General features: G+C 53.8%; 1 protein-coding gene across 8 annotated transcripts in view, besides 16 other annotated features; it reads right to left on the bottom strand.

Moving 5' to 3' along the window:
* TFEB (transcription factor EB) overlaps positions 1-21,926 on the bottom strand; it is a 52,246-nt gene that overhangs the window by 19,173 nt on the left and 11,147 nt on the right. The window contains exon 2 of one of the 8 annotated variants that reach the window (XM_047419361.1): positions 2,497-2,602. The exons of 6 other annotated variants lie outside the window; for them this stretch is intronic. The gene's annotated coding sequence lies outside the window, so the exon portion shown is untranslated. Of the gene's footprint in view, positions 1-2,496; positions 2,673-21,926 lie in introns of those variants that run through there. One more of the 8 variants, XM_006715212.5, reaches the window with a different exon arrangement.
* Positions 2,492-2,992: an enhancer, noted in NCBI's record as "H3K4me1 hESC enhancer chr6:41673380-41673880 (GRCh37/hg19 assembly coordinates)". NCBI's record gives its function as "activates a minimal SCP1, AML or CMV promoter by ChIP-STARR-seq in primed H9 embryonic stem cells {active_cell/tissue: H9 hESC(primed)}" and the evidence as "EXISTENCE:reporter gene assay evidence [ECO:0000049][PMID:30033119]".
* Positions 2,509-2,728: an enhancer, noted in NCBI's record as "active region_24516". NCBI's record gives its function as "activates an Ori minimal core promoter by ATAC-STARR-seq in GM12878 lymphoblastoid cells {active_cell/tissue: GM12878}" and the evidence as "EXISTENCE:reporter gene assay evidence [ECO:0000049][PMID:35858748]".
* Positions 2,909-3,288: an enhancer, noted in NCBI's record as "active region_24517". NCBI's record gives its function as "activates an Ori minimal core promoter by ATAC-STARR-seq in GM12878 lymphoblastoid cells {active_cell/tissue: GM12878}" and the evidence as "EXISTENCE:reporter gene assay evidence [ECO:0000049][PMID:35858748]".
* Positions 2,909-3,493: a biological region, named in NCBI's record as "H3K4me1 hESC enhancer GRCh37_chr6:41673881-41674381".
* Positions 2,993-3,493: an enhancer, noted in NCBI's record as "H3K4me1 hESC enhancer chr6:41673881-41674381 (GRCh37/hg19 assembly coordinates)". NCBI's record gives its function as "activates a minimal SCP1, AML or CMV promoter by ChIP-STARR-seq in primed H9 embryonic stem cells {active_cell/tissue: H9 hESC(primed)}" and the evidence as "EXISTENCE:reporter gene assay evidence [ECO:0000049][PMID:30033119]".
* Positions 3,299-3,378: a silencer, noted in NCBI's record as "silent region_17187". NCBI's record gives its function as "represses an Ori minimal core promoter by ATAC-STARR-seq in GM12878 lymphoblastoid cells {active_cell/tissue: GM12878}" and the evidence as "EXISTENCE:reporter gene assay evidence [ECO:0000049][PMID:35858748]".
* Positions 4,309-4,378: an enhancer, noted in NCBI's record as "active region_24518". NCBI's record gives its function as "activates an Ori minimal core promoter by ATAC-STARR-seq in GM12878 lymphoblastoid cells {active_cell/tissue: GM12878}" and the evidence as "EXISTENCE:reporter gene assay evidence [ECO:0000049][PMID:35858748]".
* Positions 4,619-4,728: an enhancer, noted in NCBI's record as "active region_24519". NCBI's record gives its function as "activates an Ori minimal core promoter by ATAC-STARR-seq in GM12878 lymphoblastoid cells {active_cell/tissue: GM12878}" and the evidence as "EXISTENCE:reporter gene assay evidence [ECO:0000049][PMID:35858748]".
* Positions 9,653-10,378: an enhancer, noted in NCBI's record as "H3K4me1 hESC enhancer chr6:41680541-41681266 (GRCh37/hg19 assembly coordinates)". NCBI's record gives its function as "activates a minimal SCP1, AML or CMV promoter by ChIP-STARR-seq in primed H9 embryonic stem cells {active_cell/tissue: H9 hESC(primed)}" and the evidence as "EXISTENCE:reporter gene assay evidence [ECO:0000049][PMID:30033119]".
* Positions 10,379-11,102: an enhancer, noted in NCBI's record as "H3K4me1 hESC enhancer chr6:41681267-41681990 (GRCh37/hg19 assembly coordinates)". NCBI's record gives its function as "activates a minimal SCP1, AML or CMV promoter by ChIP-STARR-seq in primed H9 embryonic stem cells {active_cell/tissue: H9 hESC(primed)}" and the evidence as "EXISTENCE:reporter gene assay evidence [ECO:0000049][PMID:30033119]".
* Positions 13,183-13,232: an enhancer, noted in NCBI's record as "active region_24520". NCBI's record gives its function as "activates an Ori minimal core promoter by ATAC-STARR-seq in GM12878 lymphoblastoid cells {active_cell/tissue: GM12878}" and the evidence as "EXISTENCE:reporter gene assay evidence [ECO:0000049][PMID:35858748]".
* Positions 13,343-13,442: an enhancer, noted in NCBI's record as "active region_24521". NCBI's record gives its function as "activates an Ori minimal core promoter by ATAC-STARR-seq in GM12878 lymphoblastoid cells {active_cell/tissue: GM12878}" and the evidence as "EXISTENCE:reporter gene assay evidence [ECO:0000049][PMID:35858748]".
* Positions 13,683-13,742: an enhancer, noted in NCBI's record as "active region_24522". NCBI's record gives its function as "activates an Ori minimal core promoter by ATAC-STARR-seq in GM12878 lymphoblastoid cells {active_cell/tissue: GM12878}" and the evidence as "EXISTENCE:reporter gene assay evidence [ECO:0000049][PMID:35858748]".
* Positions 19,954-20,496: an enhancer, noted in NCBI's record as "H3K27ac-H3K4me1 hESC enhancer chr6:41690842-41691384 (GRCh37/hg19 assembly coordinates)". NCBI's record gives its function as "activates a minimal SCP1, AML or CMV promoter by ChIP-STARR-seq in primed H9 embryonic stem cells {active_cell/tissue: H9 hESC(primed)}" and the evidence as "EXISTENCE:reporter gene assay evidence [ECO:0000049][PMID:30033119]".
* Positions 20,738-20,827: an enhancer, noted in NCBI's record as "active region_24523". NCBI's record gives its function as "activates an Ori minimal core promoter by ATAC-STARR-seq in GM12878 lymphoblastoid cells {active_cell/tissue: GM12878}" and the evidence as "EXISTENCE:reporter gene assay evidence [ECO:0000049][PMID:35858748]".
* Positions 21,158-21,297: an enhancer, noted in NCBI's record as "active region_24524". NCBI's record gives its function as "activates an Ori minimal core promoter by ATAC-STARR-seq in GM12878 lymphoblastoid cells {active_cell/tissue: GM12878}" and the evidence as "EXISTENCE:reporter gene assay evidence [ECO:0000049][PMID:35858748]".

Here is a 21,926-nt window from a genome sequence, read left to right on the forward strand (position 1 = left end):
CCAGCATCTTCTGCTAGCTGCCAGCTGCTTAGGGCAGGGAAGGCTCGTTGACTCCAAGTGTGAGAAGAGGCAGGCACAACGACCACAGCTGGGCACACAGCGGGCATGCAGAGCAGCTTCTGGCTCCTGGTCCCAAACCCAGCCGCAGGCCCAGGACCCCCTGCATCTGTCCTGAGTTCTAATAATGGCTCTCAGGGTCCCAGTGCCTAAGCCACCCCCGCCTCAGCCCTCCCTGCCCCAGGCCCAAAGTCCTCAGAGCACTCCAACCCCGCCAGTGCCTGGCTCCTGCCCCTGCTCCTGGGGCTGCTCCTCCTCCGTCATCTGCTGCCTCAGCCTCCCCAGCCTCCCTGTGGCTGGTCTGCTGTAAAGAACGATTCCCTGGCTTTGTTTTTAAGAGTCAAACCTGCTTCTGAGTACTTTGGAAACAACCACTGTACAACTGAAGTAGCCAGGTCTTCCTAAACAAAAGAAGACAGTGGAGAGGGGAATGGAGGAAGAAAGGACAAAAACATCTATGAGCATGGACGATTGCATTGAATTCACAGAAGGTGGCCTGTTTTCTCTCAGGTGCAAACCAAGAGGCATTAGTACTATGCACACTGAGTGCGTACTCTGCACCAGGCACTGTTCTGCATTGATATGTGTTACTGATTTAATCCTCACCACAGCTCCATCCACCATGATGGAGGCGTTCACATATCCCCTGTTTTACAGAGGGGGCAACTGAGTCACAGAGAGGCTGAAAACTTGCCCGAGGTCACACAGTTGGTAGGTAGCAGAACTGGGGCACCTGGTCTCCCCACAGTGTGCTGGGTGCCCCTGTGGAGAGTCTGTCTGGAAAGTGCCAGAGGAGGCAGGTAGGGGGTCTTGAGCCCATCAGTGAAGGGGCTCTTGGCTAAGCAGGTGGGTGCAGGACACCAGCCTCCCCTCAGCTCTTGTTTCCTCTAGAACTACTCCCATTCAACCCTCCTTCCCCTCAAGATATCCTTTCCATCCAAAACCACCCAGGACTACCCTTGCAGTTCCCCAACAGAGCCTCTGACCCCGCCTCCACCTCCACCACGTCATCTGTCCTGAGTCCGCCCTCTGGAAGACAGCCGGGCTTAGTGGATCACGAATATGCTCTGGACCCTGACAGACCAGAATTCAAATCTGGCTTTGCCATTTGTCAGCTTTGTGACTGGGGGCAGGTGCTTAACCGCTCAGAGCCTCAGTTTCCCCATCTGTACAAAAGGATGGCGGTAATGCCACCTTCCTCAGAGTCAGTGAGGGGGTAAATGGAACTGAAATATGTGATGTGCCTAGCACCTTGGAGGTGGTCTGTGAGTACTAGCTCCCTGCCTGGGTGACCACCAGCCATCTGGCTGGACAGTGAGGGCCTTAGATGGGAGAGGGCCTCTTAAGGCATTGCACGCCCTGTTTGCTGGTTAGAAACAGGCTCTCAGGCCCTGCCCAGACCCACTGAGTCAGAATCTGCATTTTAACAAACTGCCCTGGGAGATGTGTGGGCACATTAAAGACACTTTACTTGTTGCCTTCTGGGGACTTAGTTCCCTGGTTCCAAGCATGAAAATTGGTGGCGGGTGGGAGAACACAGCAGGGAAGCACAGGCCCCTGGTGGAAGCACAGAGCTATTTTAAAGGACAGGCAGGGCCCTTCTGAGCCCCACAGGGAAATTAAGCAGCCTGATTCTCAGGCTCAAGAGCCAAGGTGGAGGCCAGAATGCAAGGCTGCAGGTGGGCTCTGGCTCACTGGGTGCTGGGGCTCTGGCCCGTGCAGGAGGGGAAAACAATCCAGGTCTATGGGGAAACAGCTTCAAAGCCGAGATGGTTACCAGTGGAAAAGCAACCCAGACAGACCATATGAGACACACCCATTCATGCAAACACCACCTCTCACACATAAGCCACTGTCCACACATACACACTCACCAGTACACACACACTGCACCAGGACTTGCCTGCCTGCCCAAAGAGCAGCTCCAGAAGAGAGCAGACAACCTTTGGGACAGTGTGTGCCTGGGCCTGTGTGCTCCGCAGGAGGCCTGGGAGTGTGGAGGCTCCCACAGCAGGTCTAGGAGCCCACTCTCTCCTCCACACGGCTCTGCCTCTGCCTCCCACCTGCCTAAACCCCAGCTCCATCTGAACAATGAGAAACCTACGTCCTGCCCACCTGAGGTTGGCAAGGACCCAAATTTTAATTGGTCACCTGCCTGCTGACTCCCCTCTCCCCCAGTATACCACCATCCTCCTCACCAGGTTGCTGGGGGGTAATCAGCAGAGTGGAGCTCTGACTTCAGGGTTCCCTGAGAGGCAGCCATACCGCAAGGCCTGTGCCCACTCCCATGTACACTCACACGGGACAGCTGTAAAGTCCACCCTCTTCCCAACGACACAGCTTCTGAAGGGCCAGGGACCCTCATCCACCCTGTCCATGAAGAGGTGACAGCTCTCAACTCCACACCCATTTTCAGCTCAGAAACACACATCCACTGACCTCTTTCACCACCGCAGGCTGGACCTCTTCCACCACCACAGGGCCCCCCAGGCTCAGATGGGCTCCAAAGAAACCCTAAATCATGGGGCCAGAATCCCAAGCAGGCCTAGGATGTCCAAAAAAGAACCATCAACTAGGGAGGGTCAGTCTGGTCGCAGCAGGGTGTGTGATTTCATGGGTTCTGGAAAGGCCCTCGGCCCCAAAATATCTTCCCTCTGGGTCCGGAAATCCCTCCCAACCCTCAGATTCACTGCCGGGAGAGGCTCCCACCTGAAGCTCTCGTCAGCTCACACCCCTGGGAGAGGCAGCTGACAGCTGGCCTGAGAGCGGCCAAAGATGGGCGGGGGAGAGTGGGTGCCAGGCCTGGTGACCGTCATCTCGCCAGGGCCGCCCTGCCCACGAGTTCCCACCAGGAGAGGGCGCTCTTCCTCCCCAACCCCAGAGCGCAGGTCCCCAGAATCCAGCACCTCTGGCCAGGGAGAGGGGCCTAGCAAGGACAGGGGCCTCAGCATGGCCTTCCACGTCCATGCCAGGGGAAACCAAGGCCTGCCCCAACTGTCCCCTTGAGGAAGCTGAAGTGCCAGACAGCTGGAGGGGATGGGAGCCCTGAGAGCAGGGAGGTGGGGGGCAGAAGGGGGAATTAACCAGGTTCCAAAATAGCAGAGTTGGTTCTGCCTCACTTCACCCTGTGCAGTGTCTGGCAGCTTCTGCTTTCGATCTGAGTCACGCCTGGTGGGGGCAGGACGGGGCAGCCAGTGCTGGCAGAGGCCACTAGACAGCACAGGCAGTGGCCCAGGAACTCAGCGGGGGCTCTTCTCCCCTCACAACACACACCTACACCCACCCCCAACCACCCTTACACCCCCCCACCCCCATCCTGCCCAAGAGTTGGGGTTCTGGGAAGAGCTAACAGGGGCCCACCCCAGGATTCCCAAATGCTGTCAGCTGCCCTAGACCCAGAATTCAGCTTTGCTCCTGCCCTGTCCATGTGCGCTCCGGCTGGCATTCCCACCCCATCTCTGTCAGGGAGCCAGAGGAGGAGACCTGACCTGGAAGCCACCATCTCCCCCCATAGAGGAGAAATGGCCTCCTATGGCAACATTCCAACAGCCCACCAAGTCACCCACCCACCGGATGGAGTGAGTGAGCTGTCCCCCAACCTGCCCCCATCTCCCCCCGCCCACACCCAGGTATGAAAGGAACAGGAAGCAAAATTCACACACACACACTTCCAGCCCTTTTCCTGTCCTTAAACACCATAAGAAGCACTCTGCCTTTACCAGGACAGAGCGAGGAGTGGGGTGTGTTGAACTCTGCATGTGATGGGGTCGGGGGAGGAGCATCGGGAAGTCTGCTCTTTCATCATCATTCTCTTCCACTCATCTGGGCTCCATGCCCTCCTGCCTGCCCAGCCCCAAGGCTCAGAGCTGCTCTGCTTTCCCCCATAGAGTTGAGACTCAGGCAGCAGCTGCCTTACACCTTCTCCCTGGACCCAAGATGCTTGAGCTCAAACCTGAGACATAAACCCCATCTTCCAATGCCTGAACCAATCCTCTCTGTTCTCCTCCCAACAACACACCTGCCTGGAGTGAGTGCAGCCACCTTCCTATCCAAGTGGCGGAGTGGGGAGATGATAGACTCGGGCTGCCATGGCTGGGCCTGCCCACAGGGTAGGGAATGGCACAGGCAGACACACTCCTACCCCTGCCACCCCAGCACACGCACCCAGAGCAGACCTGGTTTGGAAATGAAACATCAAGGGGAAAGGCTGGGGCTGGTGGCTGGAGGAAGAAGTCAGAGGGGCTGTGACTTGGCGTGCCTGCCTGTGGCCCAGGACCACGTCTCCAGGGGAAGCACACCGCCAGGCCCAGCCCCTGCCCCATCCCCATCTCCTGCCCTTCCCCTAGCCCCCACCCCAGAAGGCCTTACCTACACGCCACTTCCCTCTTTTAATTCTTCCCATTCCCTCAGCCCTATAGGGTGCGAGACCTGTAGCCTGAAGCTGGGAGGGCTGGGGATGGGAACAGGTGGAGCCCAGGGGAAGAAGGCTCCTCTCCAAGAAGCAGACATGACAGAGCCTGTGCCAGGGCAAACAGGTATGCCACCGCACGAAATTACTCCCCCACCAAAATGTCCCTGAATTGTATCCTGTTCCTGACAGAGACACAGAGGGAGGCTACTAGGAGGCTCAGTTCCCGGCTGACTAAAAGGCAGCCACGTGGCGGCCATGGGGCTAGGGGAAGAGGCAGGCGCAGTGACAGAAAGGAAAAGGAAGTCAGAAAAACCACTACAATCACAGCCTCAGGATGCTAGAGTTGGGAGGGAAGTGGAAGACGGCTCTAGGCTCTGTGGCGCTCAGCACGTCTGTACCTCCCTCTAGGAGAGGATGCCATGCCACAGGGGCATTGCTGGCCTTGCACAAGGCCTGGGATGGGCGAGCCAGTGTCTGCCACATGGCAGGCGCCTCAGCCGCACAGGTCACCTTCCTCTGCTGTGAGTGCCTGGAGGCATCCTGACAGCTTCCTCTTTTTGTCCATGGCACCTTGTAGATGCTCCCTAAGTATCTGTGAAACACAGTGAGCGTGGAACTGGCGACTGGGGAAGGGTCTGCCTGGGGAAGCCTCTTGGACATAGAAAGGGAGATGTGGGAAGAGGGCTTGGCAGACCCCCAGGGCTGGGCTTGATGAGGTGGCAAAAGCTATCAGGGCCCCAGCCACATGCTCTGGGCCCTCACGATGTCAAAAGTGCCCACCTGAAGATTTCCAGGTGCCAGCACCTGAATTGGTGCCTGAACCAATGAAGTTAGCTCCCTCCCTTCCCCACCACCTCTTAGCCAAAGACACCTATCACTTGACTGGGGAACTCTAAAGCATATTCTGCAGAGGCCTCCAATGGCAGTGAGCCTCAGATGCCCACAGTCACCTTGCTCCTTCACACACATTTTATCAGCTTCCTTGCCTTCCTGTCTCATGAATCCTACTCTACCACTGGTGCTCCCTGGGGGAGCCTCCCAAATAAACTGTTTGCACTCATATCCTTGCCTCACCCAATGGGCCCTGAGGAGGCAGTTATGACCTGATACTGAATAGCTAACTCTAAAGCTTAGAAATAGGGGCCAATAAAAGGGTCAGAGTAATGCAAGCTAGCCCACCCTACAGGGAAGGAGAGAGGCAGGTGTGAGCTAGGGGAAGACCAGTCACTGGGGAGACTGGTCAAGCTGGATGCAATGGCCAAATGTGTACTTGGAACTTCCCCACTTGGCGGAAGGTTAAGACTGCCCTCAGAAGGAGAGCTGGGATGGTAGAGAGAAGAAAACAGGACTTGCCAGAGTTGCAAGTTGCATGGAGAAGAAACCTCCATACCGGGGGTAGTGATGGCAACATTAGGTTGCTGGTAGCAAATGCCAGTAGGACTAGAAGCCCAGCATTGCCTTCTGCCCCCAGGCTGCTCCTAGGATAGAGCTATAGAGCTCCAGCATTCCAGAACCTTGGCATGCCTGTTCATTCAATAACACAGCTATTATGTTCCGCACTTAGAACTAGGCACTGGTGACACCAACAGAGGCCATTTGATTAAACACTAAGAGTGTGTGTTTTGAACCTAGTCAAGCTGAATCCCAGATCTGTCACTTTCTAGCTGTGTGACCTTCATCAACTTACTTAAATTCCCAGGGTCGCAGTATCCTCATGTGTAAAATTAGGACAATATCCACCCTGGAGAATTTCTGTAAGGATTAAACATAAAGTATCTAATGCAGTACCTGGCACAGGATAGGTGCTCAATAAATATTAGATGGATGCATGTATATAATGGATGGATGGACATAATGGATGCATGCATAAATGGATGGGTGGATGCATGAAAAAGTAGATATAATGGTTGGTGGATGGATGGATGGATGGATGGATGGATGGATGGATGGATATAATGGATGCATGCCTAAATGGACGGGTGGACAGATGAAAAGGTGGATATAATGGTGGGTGGATGGATGGATGGATGGATATAATGGATGAAAAGGTGGATATAATGGATAGATGTATGCATGGATAGATGGATGGATGTTTAAAAGGAGATGAAAAAGGCACTAGTTGTCTGCATCGTTCCCATCTGGTTCAATATCCCTTTCCATTAAATTTATTTTTTATTTTTATTTTTGAGACAGGGTCTCACTCTGTCATCCAGGCTGGAGTGCAGTGGCGCAACCACATCTCACTGCAGCTTCACCCTTCCAGGCTCAAACGATCCTCCCACCTCAGCCTCCCAAGTAGTTGAGACCACAAGTGTGTGCCACTATGCCCCCACTAATTTGTTTATTTTTTGTAGAGATGGGGGTCTCATTATGTTGCCCAGGCTAGTCTTGAACTCCTGGCCTCAAGCGATTCTCCTGCCTCAGCCTCCCAAAGTGCTGATCTTTCCACTAAATTTATAAACGAGAAAATAAGATTCCATCACTCCCTAATTTATCTATTTTGGAAATCTACATTTTCATTAAACAGGTTGACAAATATAAAGTAAGATCCTTCTAATGGGCCTTAGCCACATAACTGGGGCAGAGTCATTCCCTGAAGGATGTATAGAGTTACATCAGAATAGAGGATATCCTCCTGGCTCAGTTGCCTTCATACCAGCTCCCACCATGTGGTCATGCCATGCCAGTACCCATCTCTCAGCAAGTCCAACTCCACCCAACTCCTATTCCAGAGAAGGTGGGTCAGGGACCAGATAAAGGAAGGGGAAGCCAGGTAAAAGCACAGCAGGGACAACAGGCCAGGATGGCCAAGGAGAAGAAGCCAAGAACAGAATGCAGGGATTTGGGACAGGGGTAACTACGGATCAGAAAGAAGAGGCTGAAGAGCAGAGAGGATTTATTGTCTTTGGAGAAATGAAGAAAGAAAATATTCCTCAGAGAACAAGGGAGCAAAAACAAAATGAAACAGATGGAGCAACATAGAAAGACCATTTTTTTCCTGCTCCATCACCCCCAATTGCTCTCCACTACCTACCAGATAAAGTCCAAGCGCTCTAGTTGGGCCTCCAAAGCATGCAGGATCCCTCTCCCTAAACAAACACTGGGTGCAGCCAAGGGGACCTCCTTGCTCTCTCACGCCAACCCAATCTGGGCCCCCAGACCCTCCCCCAGTTCCTCTCCCACAGATTATCCAACTTCTCCTCCTCTCTGGAAGCCCTGCTCCAGGGTCTCCTCCTCCTCCCGACAGCACACCCTGACTTCACCCACCTCTAATCACCATTTGGGCACAATTACTTACTCTGTTCCAAGCCTGGTTCTGTGTCTGAAACAGGAATACAAGGATGAATAAGACAGCCCTTGCCCTATGGTTTTTACAATCCAGCTTGGAAAAAACATCATCACCTGATAGCATATATTGTATTTCTTCTACCACTATGGATAATACTAAAACTTGTATTGAGTTGTAAAACCATCTATCAAGGATGGCTTCTAAAGCCGTGATAGAGCCAGTGCCAGGCCCTTGGCTTTATCATGTATTAATTCATTTGGCCTTCCCAATAACACTAGGAAGTAGGAAATACTACTGTACTCATTTTACAAATGAGAAACAGGTACAAAGAAGTCACCTCTCTGGTTTTCTCAGCTGCAGTGTGAACTCCTTGAGGGCTGTCCCTTGGTTTCCTCCTCTCCCACACAGGCTCCAGGTAGAGGACACTCGGACATGGCCCTCTGGGCTCAACGTCCCCACCGCTGTGGCCTTAGGTGAAGGTGTGCTGACTGGTGGGTGGGAATGGTATACATGCAGGAAAATGAGCGCCAGCAGAATGGAGGAGACTGGCCTCCCAGGTGGGGTATGAAAGGACACAGTCTCGGTGTCCCCTTCCAGCATCTCTCTTCCCTGCCTGTCCCCAAGGTCCAGCCCTGGCATTTCACAATCCTGCAGTCACTGCAGAATTCCCTGTCCCTTTGCTAAGAGCGCTGAGGTGGTGTAGAAGGAGGGAGCCAGGCTTCATGCCCAAGACAGACAGGGGAACAAAAGGGTGGGCTGTTGGAGAAGGGAGGAGCCCTTCAGCTCCCCCAAGCCCCAGGGGGTCAAGCCTCTCTGAGTGAATAAGCCTAGCCTGGAAAGTAAAACACAGGGCAGGCCCCAAAAGGGTCATGTCTGGGCACCCTCACCTTGGCAGGGGGGTGGGGGAACATGGGCCTGCGGCAGAGGCAGGGCCCTCATGGCACCGAGCTGGGCTGCCCCCTTGGCAGGCTCACCCAGCTCAGAGGCCTCTTCAGGCTGGGAAAGCTGAGGAGGTGGATGGCTCAGACCCAACTTAGAATAGAACCATCATGAGGCATTGAGTGGGGTTCTGGGTTGGTGAAGGGGGCTTCGCACAGCCTATAGAGCTCAGCAGTGGGGGTCCAGTCCCCAGCCCCGGCCATACCTCACCTCAATATTTCTATCCCCTCCTAGAAGGCACAGTGGATGTACAGTGCAGGTAGAGCAGGGAAACTGAGGCACAGAGCCTGTCCTCCAGCTCTGGAAACCTGCTCTGCCTGTCTGGCCACCAGCACCATCCTTGAAAATGAACCCCCATGTTTCTCACAAGCACACAGGACTCCAAATCCTACCATTCCAGGGTCCTACAGGACTCCAGATCCTACCGTCTCAGGGTCCTCTTCTACCCTGGGGACATATATTTTCGAGAAAGAGGCTCCCCAAAGTGGGGCTGTGGAAAGAGGGCACCGTGCCTTTTCCTGAGTCCTGGTCTGGGATTGGGTGACGAGACCAGTAAGGGGCTCAGCCACAGCTCTGGGCTCCAACCCCGGCTCTGCTTCTCACTAGCCATGAGGCCTTGGGCAAGTTACTGAAGCCTCTCAGGGCCTCAGTTTCCTCCTCGGAGAACAGGACTAAGTCTCCCTGCTCTTGTCTCTCATAGTTGATAGTATCCAAAAGGTCCTGGTACCCCACCCAGGACTCATACCCTTAATCACTAGTCCTCCCTCTTCCTCCTCACCAGGGGCCCAAGGGCTCAAGCACTGGCAGGGGCTGCTGAGGAGCTGACGGAGCCACTGCTGTTGATAGAGCCGGTGCCAGGCCCTGGGCAGGCACGGGGCCCAGGCACACAATGGGGCTGTGTGTGCACCCAGCGTTACTCTGGAGTGGAGCTGGGCAGGCAGGCTGGCATCTGGGGTCAGGCCAAGAATTCATGTCTCTGGAGAAAGCCTCCCCACCCCCTCCCAGGCAGCACAGCTCTTTCCAGGGGTGAGCAAGCACCACCCACTCCCCCACCCGGCCTAGGAAGGGAATGGGAACTTGCTCTGGTGGCAGGTACTGGGAAATGGGGACTCCTGAGTCTAGCCACTGGCTGGGCTGCTCGCTTGCGAGGCATTTTGGACCTATTACGTAATCTGGGGTTGCAGCCTCCTCTTTGGCCAGAGGGAGGGTGAAGTCTGCGGGGGCCAGGAGAAGGAGCAAGAGAAGTCTGGCTGCGACCCCCACCCCATACAGAGGGCCTCAGTCCTCCCTCCCCAGCTTACCAGGGCCCTGGGCTCAGCACAGGTTTTCTGAGGCACCCAGGACTCCTGGCCACCCAGCCTGCACCAGGGTGCTGGGGTACCCCAGGAGAGGAGCTGGCTCACTCCCCAGGAGAATGAGTCACCAGCTGGCTGCAGCCAGGATGGCGAGGCGGGTGGTGGGCAGGTGGAGCTTGTCCTCTCCTGTCCCTGGCAGGTCTTCTCAAGCTGGAAAGCCACTCAGCTGGTATCAGTGCTGACCACAGCATCCCAGCCCAGGCCTCACTGGGCCACTTCTTCTGGTGCAGGGACCGTCTGGCCGCAGGATTCAGAGAGACTTGATCCCCTCCGGTCCCTACGCTGACTCACTCTTATAGCTGTAGGCATGGGCAGCCTACTCCTCTAATTGTCTCTGAGAGGGTGTCAGGCTGCAGGGAAGGGCAGCCACCTACCCCCAGGGAGAAACGCGGTCTGAGGCGAGGAAGGAGGGGAGAACTCAGGCACCTGGTGGGCAGCAGGGAAAGGCAGACAGCCAGGCCACCTTACTCCTCAGGCTGTGGCCAAAACAGGGAGGGCCCCTTTGCATGAATCATTTTCTATTCTCCCCAGAGCCAGGAGGCACCCAGGAACAGGAGCTAACTGGCCCTGCTCCCTGGCTGGCTAGACATGTGGCACCCTCCCTCACGCCCAGTCATAACGACACAGATAGGCGTCCTGATGCATGCCACCCACACTCCCTGAAGGTCATACACAAAGTCACTGTGGCAGCCCAGCCCAGTGGACACAGTTGGATGGCCACCCATCCCCTGACACCCACAGGAACCCCCCAGCCTGAGCTAGAGTGGGCCACACCACATCCTGTAGGCCCCAAACAGTGCTGAGTCTGGGAGCACCTCAGCTCCGAGGGCTCCTTCCTGGTCAGAGGGCAAGGACCTTTCCCAGCCAAGACCACTGCACTGAGTCCTGTGTGTGCGTGTGTGTGTGCACGTGTGTGTGTGTGTGCGTGTGCATGTGTGCGTGTGTGTGCATGTGCATGCGTGTGCATGTGTGCGTGTGTGTGCATGTGCATGCATGTGCGTGCATGTGCGTGCGTGTCTGTGTGTGTGCGTGTGTGTATGCATGTGCTTCTACCACCCCTACTCTGAGAAATCACTCCCATGCCCTGAGAAAAGAGACGGTGAGAACCAAAGGGCCTTCGGAACCTGAGCCCATCGTGTTTGTTTTCCAGATGAACAAACTGTAACTCACATTGGGGAAGTGTCTTTGTTCTAGATTATGAATAAGGCTGAATCTGGAACCCAGGCTGGGGTAGCTTATGGCTAGTCAGACAAAGCAGAGGATGGGGAAGAGGGAGCAGGGGCGAGAAGGAAGAAAAGGGAGGCGAGGGAAAATTCATCACCAGATCAGAGGTGCGGCCTTGATGGTATCATTCCATTCATTCATTTCAAATATTTCTTGAGCACTTACTACATGCCAGCACTCTGGCAGGGCCTTTCTGCCCATATCACCCCTCCCTCCTGTGAGACACTGCTTCTGAGACGGACTATTGTCTTCAGGGGACCCCCATCCCGAGGGTGCGGGGAGACTGGGGCAGCGCTGGAAGCTCTACCCTTGAGTGGCGGCCCGGCCCCAGAGAGGCCCTGGAGGCAGCCTCCTCTGCCCTCCACACCCCAAGGGACTCCAGCCCTCAGGGAATCCAGTGACCACAGCACTCCAGACCCTGATATACAGGTTGGCACTCCTCCGGGAGTCCATGCCAAGTCAGAGGGCACAAAATGTCAGACGACAAGGAGCCTGGGAGTCACCTACCAGAAAGTCCCAGGTTGATGTTAGCAGCAGCACTCCCATTTTCAGACAAAGTCGGCCTGGACCCTTGATATGTAAAACATGAGGATGAAGCCGCTCCATGGAGCACCAGGAGTCAGTGTGAGGAGCAGGAGAGCAGCATGGGGAGTGGGAGGACCACCCCACCTGGCCTCCAACCAGGGCCTCCCCCACGCTCCCAGATAGTACCCAAGGCACCTTCTGGGACTGTGACGAAGAATCTGAAAACCACAGTTTTCTCTGGCCTCTCCATGTTGCGGAAGTCTGGAGGAAGCAGGGAGTATGTGCGGACCACACAGCTTAGGGAGAGCTAGGACCACAGCCCTGGCCCTCCCAACTTCCAGGCCAAGCTGTTTCCCAAGACTCTCAAGACAACAGGACCCCATCCTCCACATGGGAAAGGGACACAGCAACACCCCCACTCCCAAAAAAGTCTCATGAGCCGGGCGCAGTGGCTGACACCTGTCATCCTAGCACTTTGGGAGGCTGAGGCGGGTGGATCACCTGAGGTCGGGAGTTCGAGACCAGCTTGACCAACATGGTGAAACCCCATCTCTACTAAAATTACAAAAATTAGCCGGGTGTGGTGGCGGATGCCTGTAATCCCAGCTACTCGGGAGACTGAGGCAGGAGAATCGCTTGAACCCAGGAGGCGGAGCTTGCAGTGAGCCGAGATCACGCTACTGCACTCCAGCCTGGGCGACAGAGCGAGAATCTGTCTCAATTAAGAAAAAAAAAAAAAAAGTCTCACGGATTCAGGTCCTCCCATGCTCCCAGTACAGGGCAAAAAGCTCCACGTACATCACGCCTATGACCCAGGTATTATCATTTCTTTCTTGTATATAAAGAAGTGGGCGTTCAGGAAGATTAAGTGACTCATCCAAGGTCACCCAACCTGTGAGTGGCAAAGCCCAGATTCCAACCCAGCACATAGCTCTTGACCCCCACTGCAGCCTTGCAGACATCACCACTGTCGTGGTGCCTGGCTATAACAACTTCCTCTGAGCCCCACTGCAAGCCTCATCTCACTCAAAGAAAAGCTGAGAGGTCTCCTACCCAACTCACCCCAACAGGATGTCACATACGGAGCTTCTCAGTAATATAGCACTACCACTGCTACTAATACCACCACCTCTCTATTATACAGCACTTTCTATTTAGGCAGTTCATACAGTATTATCTTACTTAATCCTCACAACACTACACTCCCATCTCCATCTCACAGAGGAGGAAACTGAGGCATACAGAGGTTGATGAGTTGCCCAAGTTTACACAGCTAGGAAAGAGCCGAGCTAGGATTCAACCCCAGGCAGTCTCACCCCAGTGGTACACCCCCTCCCTATAATGTCTGCTGGCTCCTCCTTCAGCGGTAGCTGTCACAAGCACCATAGTTTGGGGCTTGCCTCCCTCCTCTGAGGCCTCTCTGCAGGGGTCTGAGGCCAACTGGACCCCTGAGGGGTGGATGTGGGAAACCTATCTGATGAGCACCTTCAGCTCATCCTCTCCAGCTGTGGTAACACCATCCCCACCACCCACCCACTCACAGGAGCTAGAGCTGGAAGGATGAGATCCTGGGAGAGCAATCAACGCACAAGCATGAATAGGACACCTACTGCATGCCAAGCTTCAAGCTGTGGCAGGTGCAGGAAGTAGAAGATTCTGTCCTTGCTCTCCTGCCAGAGGCTCCAGTCCCCAGAAATGTCCAAAGGAGTAGCCCCTGCCACCCCCACCCCCTTTAGTGCTGGCTGCACCAGATGTTGGCAACACTTAGAAACAGGGCTAAAAATAGACTCTATAATGAGTCTGTGCTAAGAATAACTTGGGCAAACAGCCCTCCAGGAGAGGACACTCTCTGACAGGGAGCCACCACCTCCTCCCACCTCACAACCCAGCCTGGCCTACCCCCTGGCCCATCACTCAGAGTCCCCCACAGCTAGCAGAGGACCTGGAGCATTTCGAACCTAACTGCTGTGTTGATGGAGGCATCGGCATGCCCGCGTGCACCCTACATCACAAGCCAGGTGACCGGCCACCCTCCATGAAGGGTGGGGGCATCAAAGGACTGGGCAGAAGCTGGTGGGAACTCCCTGCTCCAGGCAGAGCTGTACTGAGGCACCAAGTCACTTGAGTTGTTTCCCCACTCTAACACCAACTCCCAGCAGGAAACTAGGAAAATAGGGCCCCCCAGCTCGAAAATCGTGCTTCATTTCATGTCTCACCTGTGACATGGGTCCCTCGAGTCAGCTAGACCGGCCCACTTCAGACATGTTCAGGGGAACTGAGAGCAGAGAGAGGCAGCAGTACACTGAAAAGCAGACATCAACTGTGGCCGGGGGAGGGGATCAGAACTTTAGGGCCCCAACCATGCTAGCTCCCACAGCCAGGGCCTCCTTTTCCCATGTCCTCACTGCCCCCAGAAATTATAAGAACTGTCAGACTCATGGATATCTGCATATGGATTGAAAATTAGTAGAGCACGTTCATGTATGATATCAGAGCTGAACTTCTCAAAAACTCCAGAAGACAGACAAGATGATGAGTTTCATTACACAACTGAGGAGAATGAGGCTCAGGAAATGGAATTAACTTGCTAGGGGCCCTGCAGCTGGGATGAAGCCTTATTGCCATCTATTAGTCTGAGAAGGATCTCCCAGCAGCCATAAACTAGGCATAGCTCCATCTCATAGCAATGCCCAGAAGGAAACAGACACCCTCTAATGCTGGGAGCAAGCAGGAGGGGGCCAGAAAAAGGTAAGGAGCTCTCAGGAGGAAACAGCAGCACACACAACACTTCTCTGAGGACAAAGGAAGAAGGAAGAGGAAGAGGTATCCTGGGCAGAGCACTGGCCATGGAGTCAGGAGCAAGGAGTCTGGCCCTAGCTCTGTAACAGGTAACTGCATAACCTGGGAAAATCCCTTCCTAAGTTTCATTCCAGGTCTTAGTTTCTCTATCTGGAAAATGGGGCTTTAAACACCAGGCCTTTGAGATACCCTAGAGTATATATCATGACCACATATTGGAGATGTACAACAAAAATTAGCATATCACAGGCTCTGACAAGCCCTACAGCAAAGAAAACCATTTGGGGTTTTGTGTAGTTGTATATATTTATGGAGTACAAGGTGATGCTATGATTTATGAGCACCATGTGGAATAATTAAATCAAGTTAATTAACATATACATCACCTCAAATACTTGTCATTTTGGGTGGTAAGAACATTTGAATTTTGGGGGTGTTTTTTTTTGTTGTTTTATTTTGTTTGTTTGTTTGTTTTTGGAGACAGGGTCTCGCTCTGTCACCCAGGCTAGAGTGCAGTGGAATGATCACAGCGCACTGCAGCCTCAACCTCCCAGGCTCAATTGATCGTCCCACCTCAGCCTCTCCCATAGCTGGGACTACAGGCATGCATCATCACACCCGGATAATTTTTGTATTTTTTTGTTTGTAGTAACAGGTTTCACCATGTTGCCCAGGCTGGTCTTGAACTCCTAGGCTGAAGTCTCCCGCCTCAGTCTCCCAAAGTGTTGGTATTACAAGCATGAGCCACCACACCCAGCCTAGAACATTTAAAATTAACTCTTAAATGATTTTGAAATATACAATAATTACTATTTACTATATTCACCATGCCGTACAATACATCTCAAGGAAAAAACTTATGCCCCCTGTTTGAGGTTTTGTACCCTTTGACTATCATCTCCCCATTCCCCCAACCCCTATTTTTCTTTTTTTTTTTTTCTTTGACTTACAGTCTCCTGTGCCTGCTTGACCTCTAAACCTTTCCACAGAAAACATCTTGGGAAACCCTGGAATAGATTTGGAGCCACCAACTCAAATGCCTGCAGGGGCCAACAGGAAACATGAAAGCCTGAAGCAGGCCCAAACACAATCCGTTGGGACCTGCGGTTGGCTGCAAACCCTAAAGAATTCCTGACAGCTCTGGAGATTCAAGTAGTCTAGCACAGGGGTCCCCAGTCCCCAGGCCACAGACCCATACTAATCCATGGCCGGTTAGGAACCAGACCACACAGCAGGAGGTGAGTGGTGGGCAGGCAGGCAGGTGAGCGAAGCTTCATCTATATTTGCAGCCACTCCCCATTGCTCACATTACCACCTGAGCTCCACCTCCTGTCAGATCAGCAGTGGCACTGGATTCTTATAGGAGTGCAAACCCTATTGTGCATTGTGCATGTGAGGGATCTAGGTTGCATGCTCCTTAGGAGAATCTAATGCCTGATGACCTGTCACTGTCTCCCATCACCCCCAGATGGGACCGTCTAGTGGCAGGAAAACAAGCTCAGGGCTCCCACCAATTGTACATTATGGTGAGTTGTATAATTATTTCATCATATATTACAATGTAATAATAATAGAAATAAAGTGCACAATAAATGTAATGCTCTTGAATGATCCTGAAACCCTCCCCTGCCATCCATCCATGGAAAAACTGTCTTCCACGAAACCAGTCCCTGGTGCCAAAAAGGTTGGGGACCGCTGGTCTACCACTTCTATTTCACTGAAGGTCTCCTTCAGGACCCATCCAACATCTTCAACAACCCTATTGAGAGGAGCAAGGAAGGGGTCAGTGCCCTGTGTCACACAACTGAGGAGACTGAGACCTAGGAGGCCAGACACCCGGCCCAGGGTCACACGGCAGTTACTGGCATGCAGGTCATGTGGCAGGTCCCATTTATTCGGCCCTTATTGTGTACTATGTACTTCTCAGTCTTTATCTCACATAGCTCTCACAACAACCCTTTGAGGAAGGCACAGAGGAAGAAACCAATGGTCAGAGAGATTCAGTCACTGTTTGAGGACCCACAGCTAGAAAGTGGCACTACCCAGATTTGAACTCTAGTATCCCGAATCCAGAACTCAGGCCCTCAGGCCAGCTCTCCCATTTACTAGCTAGGTAACCTTGGGTGAGAGATTTAACCTCTCTGGGCCTCAGCTTCCTGAGGCCCATTTTATTATCCCTGTAAAATGGGATAATAAAAAGACCTGCATTCGGTTGTTGTATAAAGTTTGCAAATATATAAAAGTGCTTAGCACAGCGCTGGCACACAGGAGTGCCAATATATGTGACCTGTCATTAAACACCACATTCTACTGTGGGAGCTCATGCCTGAGCCTCTGGGCTCTGTGCTCAGTGGGTTGGAAGCCACCCACAGCCTCCTGAAAACTGGCCCCTGCCAATCAGTCCTAGGTTACTGCCTCTCCACCTGCCACCACAGCCCCTTAAGCTGGGACTCCTGGGGTACTCAATGAAGAGTGGAGCTTTAGAGGTTGGGGGTTCCCAGATTTAGGCCAGATCTGGGTCTCATCATCTGAGGCCCCTACTGGGCTGCCTGCACTCAAAGCTGGGGATATCCCCAGCCTGCCATGGGTCACAGGCTTCTCCTCCCACTGCCCTAGGTCACAGGGTAGGGAGGCCAGGGGCTCTCCAGACAGGCAGCTGATGTCCTCATGACCTTCCCCAGTCCTCCCAGCCTTAAAGACGACAATCATAACCCACCCAGAGCTCTTCATACTTCCTGCAGCCGGTTCATCCACAATAGGTCACAAGATGGGCATCACCACCCAGGAGGCTGGCCGCTCAGGAGACAGTGTGCCTCCTTTACAGATGGAGAAACTGAGGTCCTGACTAGGCCAAGCACTTCCCAGGGCAGGGATCTAAATAGTGGGAAGTCTTCTGGCTTCTGGATAGGGCTCAAGCTGAGAGCCAGGTTGCAGGCCAGGCCCACGTGGGTCTCACCCATAGTGACTACAGATCCTGCAAGCTGGGGGAGGGGGCATCAGTAAGGCCGAGTCCTTCTCTACCCCACCCCACCCCAGCCAGGGAGACTGGCACAGCCCTCACCCATATATAATTATTCCATCATATATTACAATGTAATAATCATAGAAATAAAGTACACAATAAATGTAATGTTCTTGAATAATCCTGAGACCCCAACCTCCACCCAACCCCCTGCTCCAGCAAGCATGGGCAGCTCCTGCCAGGCCTGACCCTGCAGCCTTCCACTGACGGCAGCCTCCCACCTTTCCAGGTAGCTCTCCAGCCCCCAGCCCCAGCCCCCAGGACCCAGGCCAACCATTCACCCCAGGCATCACCCCCTCTCATCGTCCCCACCTGACACAGGGTCATCACCCAGGAATCCCTCTCTGACCACTCTGCTCCCTCCTCTGCTGACCCACAGTCTTGGTAACCACCTTGCTAAGAACTGGGCCCTGATTCTCCAGTCAGACCATGAGGTTTGCTGAGGACAGGCACCCTGGCCATAGCACTGCTGCTGCGCCTTATATTCAGTAGGTGCTCTATAAACATGGCACAGGAGGGACAGAATCTCTAATGCAGTGGCACCAAAGTTTTGGACCATGGCTCACAGAAAAATATACTTTATTTGACACTAGGCACACATACACACACACACACACACACACACACACACACGAAACATGTTCTACACAACAATGCTTACTGATACTGAGCAATACACTTGAATATTTTCTAGTCTCTTCTTTTTCATTAAAAAAAAATTCATGGAGACCCACCAAACTGATTTCATGGCTGAATTAGGGTCCAATTAGTGGCCCTGATCCACAATTTGAAAAACCTCCCTCCAAAAGTATCTGTGCAGCCCAACTATCTGCCTGGCGCGTGGCCCTCTCTACAACAGGCGCCTAATAATGGCATCCATCTGTCAGACACTTACTCCAGGCCAGACCTGTGCTAAGCATTTTACTATGGTGTCTTATTTCATCCTCACCATCACCCTAGGAGATAGGAACTGCTATCACCCCCATTTTAAATGTGGTGAAACTGAGGCCTGAGGCCAAACAGTAACTGGCTCAGACAGAGCTGAAAACCAGGCCTGTGTGAATCTGAAGCCAGATTCAGAACCACTGCACCCTCATGCCCACAGATGAGTGGCCTTCAACTGCTCTCTCAAGACTACACCCTGGCAGGGAGCTCACTCTCCTAGGAAGTCTCTTCCAACTCCAACTACTAATAAACCATTCCTTATATTATTATTATTATTATTAAGGCAGAGTCTCCCTCCGTCGTTCAGGCTGGAGTGCAGTGGTGCAATGTAGGCTCATTGAACCCCTTCGCCTCCTGGGTTCAAGCGATTCTCCTGCTTCAGCCACCCAAGTAGCTGGGATTACAGGCACATGCCACCATGCCCAGCTAATTTTTTGTATTTTAGTAGGGACGGGGTTTCACCATGTTGGCCAGGCTGGTCTCAAACTCCTGACCTCAGGGGACCCGCCCACCTCGGCCTCCCAAAGTGCTGGGATTACAGGCGTGAGCCACCGCACCTGGCTCCATTCGCTATATTAATTTAACTCTTTATAGCTGTGGGTTACTTTGATTACTTAATTGGGGATGGCACAGAGAAAAGAAAGGGCTCCCTGGCCAGAGCCCACAGGCTGCAAGGCCAGCCCTCACACCCCTCCCAGCAGACCCTCCATCCTCCTCCTCTCCCATACTTCTATTGGAACCCAGAAAAGGGGCAGGGGTGTGGGTGAGGGGCCCACCTGTGGGCTGAGTGGACCATTCTGCCATTCTCCCTCACTGATATAGCTGCCCTGGAGCAAGTCACTCTAGCCCCTGGGCCTACATGTCCCCATCTGCAAAATGGGAATGATAGCAGCATCCCCCTCATGGGGTGACTGAGGGTGAAGGGGCTGGTACAGATGAATCACTGGGCACAGTACCTGACATGGAATAAGGCCAGGTAAACATGAGCTCTTACTATCAATCTCAGTTCCAGCTCAAACTTCCACCATCAAAAATGATCGTCAGGAGCCCTGGGCAGTTTTTTGCCATCTGCACACAAACATGCTATGTCCTGGTGAAGTGTTAACCTGTGCAGGCACTTAGTGGGAGGCTGGCTCTATTCTGAGCACTTTATGTGAGTAAAGTCTTTTACTCTTCAGAACTCACAAGGTGGGCACTATAACTGTCATCTCCATGTTACAGATGAGGAAGCAGAGGAGGATAACTTGCCAGCATCATGAAACTGCAAAACGACAGGGCCAGGATTCAAGCAGGTGGATGTAGAGCATATGCTCCCAGCCCCTAATGTAAATGGGTATTCACTGTGGCCTGGCCAGTGACATGCTAAGCCCATCCTGCCCATGACCTTCTCACTCGACCCTTGAAATAAGCCTGGAGAGATGAGGAAACTGAAGCACAACTCTGGCTGACTCCTGATTTCCCACGCTGTCCAACCTGCACTCCAGAGCTTGGCCACCTTCTTCCCCATTCTTTCCCTCACCCCAGCCTTGGCCATGCTCAGAGACCCCCACCCCTCCCCAAAGACATCCCAATGCCAGTGCAGCCTGAGGGGCCTCATCCCTACCCACCCACCTCCCCAAAGACACCACACGCATGCACATACACTCACACAGATGCACACAGGCTAACACACATGGACACACATTCACACACATGCTCACACACATGCACACACTCACACACATGCACGCGTGTGCTCTCATACCTTCGAGAGGGCAGCCCCCTGGAAGGAGGCCCCTGGAATGCTCAGCTCCTCCAGGGGCCGGAGCCCAGGGCCGCACCCCAGCCCCAGGGCCGGGCTCAGTTTCCTCATTTCCCCGGCGGCTGCTGTTTCTCACCCAGCCCCCTGCACCTCAGCTGGAGAGGAAGTTGCACAATCCCCTGGGAGCTGCAAATGCGGCCGAGGATTACTCACAGCACAGAGGGAACTGCGCCCCGACGGCACAGTCCCACACCGCAGCCTACCCAACACAGACTGCTTCAATCTCACCCGCCCGGCTCCAGGCGCCCACAGCGCTCCTTGGTCCTCCCACAGGAGGCCTCTCATGGCCGCCCTGACCCCAGCCTGACCTCAGAGGGCCCTAGGCAGATGGAGAGACACAGAGCAGCAAGAATTTCGCCAGAGTCCCAATCCCACCAGGTCCAGGGTGGGCCTAACCCTAACCCCAGCCCCGCTTCCTAGAGACATGTGTCCTTCTAGCCAGAAGCCCCACAGCTCACCATCTTCCTGACTGGCCATACACCTGCAGTCTTGGCCTTGGGCCTTCCCAGGGCCTCCAGACACCCAGGTCGAGGCCGTACTACAGCCCACCTTGAAATGGAGCCTGAGATCAAGCAGAGCCCTGGGCAGCTCCGGGAAGATCCACACCACCGCACACTTTTCACTTGTGCAGAAACTGTTCTTGATACACATGCAAGTTCAGTGGTTCCTCAGCCCCCCAGCACTTTTTTAGCAGCCTGCCAAAGAGACTGGGCAGAGATTTCACTTAGTGCTTCTTTCTGGTGGCCAAGGGATTCCCATCGTTGATAAGCAAATACCCTGTATTAAGAAAGGTTAAGCTATTATCGGTCGTCTGCGTCTCAGGGTGGATGAGTTTACTGGGCCCTTTCGTGAGTGCAGGTTTCAGGAAGGAAGCGGGCAGCAGAGAGGAGATGAGGCAGGCCGTGGCTCCTGGAGAAGGCAGGAGATGCCAGCAATGTGAGGGAAGCCCAGAACAGTGAGGCCAGAGAGGCCCAGGGAGGATGGACCCAGACTCTGGTCCAACCCTGGGCCTCCCTGGGCTGGCAAATTCTGGAAGGACACAAAGGATGAGTAGGAGCCAGGCCTGGGTGTGCAGAGCCCCCAGGGAGGACCTCTGGCTCCCGCCCCTTGCCGCCCGAGACCTGCAATGGGGCCTCAGATAAGGAACATGATAAATACCTCTTATCACCCCCACAACCTTGGACTCCCATCCAGCTAAGGACAAAGTTGGAAATGTTTTTGTCCTGGGCCCCAAGGCTCCCAGAGAACCCCTCATTTCTGCAGCCCTCATCAAAAGGCTGGGGCCCGCAGGGACTGTGGGGGAAGCGCCTCACAGCCCCTGCAGCAGCACGAACCAGGACTGAGGTTCACAGCGGTCACCTGATGCCTCCAGCTTGGTGGACAGGGAACACAGTCAAGGAAGAAGGGCCAGTGCTGAAAAGGCCTGGCTCTACTGGAACGCAACAGCCACAAGGCCCCTTTGCAGGGACGCCTCCCCCAAAATGCCTGCACATTCACCATCTCCCCCATCCTGACAAGAGCCCCATGAAGGGGAAGGGCAGCAACGCTTGCTATCCGTT

The sequence above is a fragment of the Homo sapiens genome, chromosome 6 (genome assembly GCF_000001405.40).
Source record: "Homo sapiens chromosome 6, GRCh38.p14 Primary Assembly".
NCBI classification, from domain to species: Eukaryota; Metazoa; Chordata; class Mammalia; order Primates; family Hominidae; genus Homo; species Homo sapiens.